The following is a 6578-nucleotide window of genomic DNA, read 5'->3' on the forward strand; positions in this document are numbered from 1 at the left end:
AGCATAAGTGTTATTCAGGATGAAGTTATACAAGGGCTTGAGAATCGTATGTATTTTGCTGTTTTGAGTGTAGTATTCTATATATGTGTTTGGTCTAGTTTATTTATAGTGTTGTCCAAATCTTATTTTTTCCTTGTTAATCTTGTGTCTAGTTGTTCTTTTCATTATTGAAAGAAGCTGTTGAAGTCTCCAATAATTATTGTTCAATTGCCAACATTATTTTCCCTTCAATTCAGACAGATTTTGCTTCATGTATTTTGGGCTTTGTTGCTACCTACATGTATATTTGTAATTGTTATGGTTTTCTAATGGATTCATCTTTTTAACGTTATAGAATATCTTTCTTTTTCTCTAGAAATATTCTTTGCACTACAGTCTATTTTGTTCAATAGTAATATAGTTACTCCAGCTCTGTTTTGGTTACTGTTGCATTATATATATTTTCCATCCTTTTGCTTTACATTCATATGTCTTTTTAAATCTAAAGTGTGTCTCTAGTAGATAGCCTACAGTATGATCCTGATTTATATTTTATGCATTCTGTTACTCTGTACCTTTGAAGTATCCATTTTGCTATTTGTTTTCCACATGTCTTATCTCTTTTTGTTTCCTCTATTTCTGTGTTATTGCCTTAGGATTTTTGGCATTTTTAAAAATTTTATTTTACTATCAACTGAAAATTTATTAATTGTATATATTTATGTTTATGGGATAGCCTTGTTTTGTATAAAATAGACATTTTCAAGTGTACCATTTTAACTTCCTTTTTATTTCTTTTACCATTCTTTTAGTTATTTTCTTAATGGTCCTCCTTGTGATGACAGTTAATATCATATCTTAAAAAGAACTTGTTTAGATTAATACCAACTTACTTTGATCAGTATCCAAAAGTGTAGCTCTAATCCAACTTTGTTTTTTTCACCCTTCTTTGTATTATGATTTATTGACATAGAAACTATATTGTACCTTGGAAGCCTACTAATAGTTTTATAATTATTGTTTTATGTAGTTGTCTTTTAAGTCAGATAGGAGAAGAAAATAGTTACAAACAGAAATATACTGATCCTGTATTTTATATTCATCTTATGCAGTTACCTTTATTAGTGTTCTTTATTTCTTCATGTGGATTTGAGTTTTTGTCTAGTGAAAATTTTTTTTAGAGTGAAGGACTCCTTTTGGTATTTCTTATAGGAAAGGTCTACTCATTATGTCAGTTATTTTTTGTTATTTTTAAAATCTTGGCACGTCCTAATATCTCCATTTTTGAAACAGTTTGCTAGAGATAGAATTCTTGGTTAATGGGTTGCTTTTTTCACTTCAGCATGATACATATGTCATCCTACTGCCTTCTGCCCTCCACATTTCCGATAAGAAGTTAGCTGTTACTGCTATTAAAAAATACCTTGTATGTAGAGCTACAATTCTTTTACTGCTTTCAAGATTCTCTTTGTGTTTTGGCACTTTGTCTATGATGTGTCTGGGTGTAGACTACTTTGAGATTATCCTACTGGAAGATTGTTTTGCTATTTGAATGTGCAAATTCATGTTTTTTCATCAAATTGTGTTAGCCTTTAGAAATTATGTCTTCAAATATTCTTTCTGTTCTTCGAAGCTTTCTCTTCTCCCTCAGGGACTTCAGTGTCTCACATATCTTTGAGACTACATTAATTTTCTTTATTATTTCTTCTTTCTGTTCTTTACTATAATCACAATGAACTATATTCAAATTTTCTTATTGTTTCCTTGACAGTTGCAATCTGCTATAGAACTCCTCTAGTGAATTTCTCATTTCAGTTATTGTGATTTTTAAACTACTGAGTTACTATTTGGTGCTTTTAAAAAATAATGTCTATCTCTTTGTTGACACTCTCTCTTTAGTGAGAAATCATTGCCATACACTCCTTTATTTTTTTAGACAAGATGTTTTTTAGTTACTTGAACATATTTATAATTGCCTATTTAAAATCTTTATATAATAAATCTGACATCTTGGCTTCCACCATGACATTTTCTATTGACTTTCTTTTTTTTTTTTCTTTGTATGGGCCATTCATTCCTGTTTCTTTGTATGTCTACTTTTTCTTTAAAATACTTGACATTTTAATATAACATTGTAAATCTTGAAATCAGAACTTCTTCTCCCAGGGTTTGTTGGTCTTGCTGTTAGCTGTTTTGTTGTTGTTGTTTATATTGTTATTGTTCCTCGTTTGCTGACTTTCTTGGACTGATACTGTAAAGTCTGTTTTCTTTGACATATGTAGCCACTAAAGTGTCTCCTTGGTTAGGTTAGTGATTAGCAAGACAGAGGTGTCCTTAAATGCCATGAACCAGTAATTCTCCCAGCCACTGCCAAGGATTTGGTATAGTTTTTAGACATGCCTCAAATATTCCTGTAATTAACAACTCTGTTATCCTTACTTTCAACTTCTTCAGAGGCTTAAGATTAGTCAGACTTAAATTAGCTGGGTGTGGTGGTGGGTACCTGTAATCCCAGCTACTCAGGAGGCTGAGGCAGGAGAATCACTTGAACCTGGGAGGCTGAGGTTGCAGTGAGCCAAGACCGTGCCACTGCACTCCAGCCTGAGCAACAGTGCAAGACTCTGTCTCAAAAAAAAAAAAAAAAGAAAAGAAAGAAAGAAAGAAAGAAAAGAAAAGAAAAAGATTAGTTAGACTTGAGCAAATAGGGCATTCTGAGGACTTTCTTGAGCCTACAGCCTTGCACACCTGTGTGGCCTTCTAGATTCTCAGAAATATGTTGACATTTTCAAAGATTGTTATGAATGTCTCATTCACCAGTTTTTCCTTTTAAGTTTTTAGTCAACCTCTTGTTAATTGCTTCAGGTAGCTGCAGTGTTAAACAACTACCACTTTTTGTGAGAAAATTTTTTAGGTATAGGCTTATTTGTACAGAGTGAGCTCTGATTCAGGTCCATTAAAGACAACCCTGAGAATAGAGCTATTTAGGGAGTTTCCAGACATTTCAAATAGTCACATTTCTCAGGGAATGGGTTTTGTGGAAGAACATGCCTGTTTCTGCTTCCTCTAGTGGTTGCTAAAATGCAAGTTTTCATGACTACTGCAGTAGTGAGGCTGTTGATTTCAAGACTCTCACAAATCTAGGGAGTGAAGAATAGTAATAGAGCGAGCTAACACATCACAGAGATTGCAGTTCTTACAGAAGTTTAGCTGTTTTTCTTGGAGAAATACTCCTTGCAATGTTGCAAGCCTTTGATTAATTTCCAGAGTTTTAGAAAGGTTTGTTTTGATGATTTTTTCCAATGTTCCGATTGCTTTTCAGAAGGAGAGGTTTTTGTAAAGCTACTTTTATTAGGACCTTTGACAGCTTTGACTTTTTGTTCATAGCTGCAGAACATTATGTCTTCTACAATATAGTAATACATTCTTCTAATAAATCATCTTTGCACAGTGTGAAGGGAACATTTCAATAGTTGAATATTTGGGGATATAAACAAAACTGTCTGTTATATCAAAAGTATAGCCTCATTTAATTTTTATTTTTCAGAAAGGTTTTGCTGCCTCCATAGATAGCATGTCTTTGGGAAATATAATTCCATGAGAATTTTGGTAGTGATAGTTCTCATTTCGCTCCCTCCCCGCAGTACGCATACACATTTATTCTTCCTCTCTGGATATTAGCCAGCAAGGCTAATTTTATTGCAAGGCCCTGTGGCATACTAGATACTTCTATTTCAAATGATATAGACAGTTACAGAATGTTTATCATAGTCTACTGAAGTTTGAATGATACATATTACAAATACAGTTGTTACACAGTCAGCATTCTTCAGACCAGATGGGTCTGACATGGAGGATCACAGAAAGTTAGAAAGATCGCCATTCTCAGATTTATTTCAGTTTGTGTCTTTTCCAAGGAAATTTCAATTTAGTATCTTTGAATGTAACCCAAGAGTAACTCTCAGGTTTGGTCTCTGAGTGAGGTGTTCCAATCTCACATTTTATAATACTAATTTCCTAAATAATTAGCAGTGGGAATGGTCATTATATTTTTCAAGTGATGCCTGCAGATTTAAAAATTAGGGTTTTAAAAATCTGTCTATTCCAGAGTCTGAATACCTTGGCATTTGGAGCAACATGAAAGAAACACTATCTTGCCTATAGCAAACAGATTTTTCAGCTTAGGTTCTGCATCTCTTGCCCTTTCAGTAGTTTATTGAGCTGTTCCAAGTTTACCACTGGTTAAATGGAGTACAAGAAAATAGCATTCATTAAAGCTTGCTTAATCCAAGGAAACTTGGCCTGAGAATGATCTTTGATAGGGCCATTGTTGTACTTCAAATTACATTTAAATTACTCTAAGACAGATATTCAAATGTAAAATGTAAAAAGCACAAGTGTCACAGAAACACTTCTTGGGATCTTTGGGGAGTTACTTATACCAATAATGCCTCTCTCAGCTGCATGAAAGGTACAATGATATAAAAATCTCAAGCTCTTGGTTACTTATGAAGGGCTTTACTATGTGGCCAGGAGTTGACAGACTAAATGTACACTGTTTGAAACTGTGTATATTTCTCTATAATTTTTAGTAGTTACCCATGAAAACAATGCCATTTAAATACCATTACTCTTGGCTATTGCTGCAACAGTAATTTTCAAAGAAGAGTATTATCCTGCACATATGGGTGATATTTTTCATTGTCCAATGACTGGGATACCATATTAGCAACTAGTGACTATTAGTCAGAGACACCAAAAAGTCCCACATAACAAAGACTTGTCACACTCAAAATTTTAATATGGTCCCCTTTAAGAAACAGTGAGAAATGGAATTGCACTTTAGTCATAATAGGCAATATCTTATGATGATGATGCACTTTTTTCATAGTTGCATTCCTCAAGATGACATCCATTGCAACAGGTCAGAATTCTTTATGAGTGCTGCATTATGGCCCACTTCACGCTTAAGAACAAACATGAGGATTTCAGAGCTGAATCAACGTTAGACTCTTAAAAAACAATTGTATCATGTAAGTATCTACTTTGTAGCTCCACCTTAAAAGCTATGGATGGCCTTTGTATAAATTTACTACTACTTGCCTATGGAAAGGACTCTATTACTGAATTAGAAGTTAGGTCTATGATGGAACAAGTGTGACCATTTAGCATTTAAGTCTAGTTGCATTTCTGCATTGATGCAGGCAGACCTTTCTTTGTCCGGATCTAGGATAGATTAACTGAGATCCTGACACTTTTAAAGGTCTGAAAAAAACATGTAAAACGTATTCTCCCTGAGGGCTGCTAACAGTGAGGTTTCATCTACATAACAAGACCACCTTTGCTAGCCAGACCTCTTCTTCTCCCCTTCCCATAACCTGTCTTGCCACCATCACCTGATTTACCAACATAACTGTTCTGAGCCCCTATTTTTTTCTCTAACCTCAAGATGGTGTTTAAGCTTCTGTATCCCATTGCAGAGTTGGTGTAATTACTTTGTGATTCTTCCATGTACATGTTAATAAATTTGTATGCCTTCCTTCCTATTAATATGCCTTTCTAAAAATTTTATTTATAAAGACACGGTCTCACTATGTTCCCCAGGCTCAATTACAGTGGCTATTCATGGGTACCATCTCACCACTGATTAGCAAGGGAGTTTTCATCTGCTCCACTTACAACCTGGGCCAGTTCATCCCTCCCTAGGTGACTTGATGGTCCCCTACTCCCTGGCAATTACGATATTGATGGCAAACAGTGTGGACACTCTATCAGCATAGTGCACTACAGCCTGTTACTGGACACAAGTGATTCTCCTGCCTTGGTCTCTGGAGTAGCTGGGACTATAAGCATGCCCACTGTACCTGGCTAATCTGCCTTTTGTCAGTTGATATTTCAGTGAATCTTCAGAGAGTGAAGGGAATGTTTTCCTTCCCCCGTATAGGGGTTAGGAGATCAGTATATGAATTTGGGATTATGAAAGGAAAATAAAATCTTGGGACCCCAAACACACTAAGCCAAAGGGAAAAGTCAAGCTTGGGAATTGAGTCATAGAAAATTGTCTCCCATTTTTATTCCTACAAAAATTAAAGGCCACATACTTCCCCAGGAAGCCTCCCTCACAATTTGCTCACAAGGAACTTCCTCATAGGTCGCAAGATATTTACCCTAAAACAGTTCTGTTGAATTTCATGCTGACAAGGTAATTAACAGCTTATCTTCACAGGTACGGGACAAAGACAAGACCATCACGGATAAAGACAGGAGCAGATTTAGTATATGTGCTGCCACCATAACGGATAAAGACAAGAACAGATTTTAGTATATGTGCTGCCATTTGAGACCAGCCTGGCCAACATTGTGAAACCCCGTCTCTACTGAAAACACAAAAATTAGCTAGGCGTGGCGGTACGCCCCTGTGATCCCAGCTACTTGAGAGGCTGAGGCAGGAGAATCGCTTGAACCTGGGAGGCGAAGGTTGCAGTGAGCTGAGATCGCACCACTGCACTCCAGCCTGGGTGACAGAGCAAGACTCCATCTCAAAATAAATAAATAAATAAATAAATAAATAAATAAATAAATAAATAAATAAAATAAAATAA

The 6578-nt window shown here is 35.4% G+C and overlaps 1 long non-coding RNA gene and 1 pseudogene across 2 annotated transcripts; one reads left to right on the top strand and one right to left on the bottom strand.

Moving 5' to 3' along the window:
- Positions 1 to 6337, top strand: LOC102724491 (uncharacterized). Of its 2 annotated transcripts, none has more exons than XR_430542.4 (3): positions 1 to 46; positions 4868 to 5009; positions 6190 to 6337. It is a non-coding gene; the product is annotated as an uncharacterized LOC102724491 (long non-coding RNA). The 2 variants fall into 2 exon arrangements; XR_430541.4 differs by having other exon boundaries at positions 6203 to 6337.
- On the bottom strand, positions 5553 to 5845 carry RN7SL93P (RNA, 7SL, cytoplasmic 93, pseudogene; annotated as a pseudogene).
- Positions 6338 to 6578: the final 241 nt, after the last annotated feature.

The sequence above is a fragment of the Homo sapiens genome, chromosome X (assembly GCF_000001405.40).
Source record: "Homo sapiens chromosome X, GRCh38.p14 Primary Assembly".
NCBI classification, from domain to species: Eukaryota; Metazoa; Chordata; class Mammalia; order Primates; family Hominidae; genus Homo; species Homo sapiens.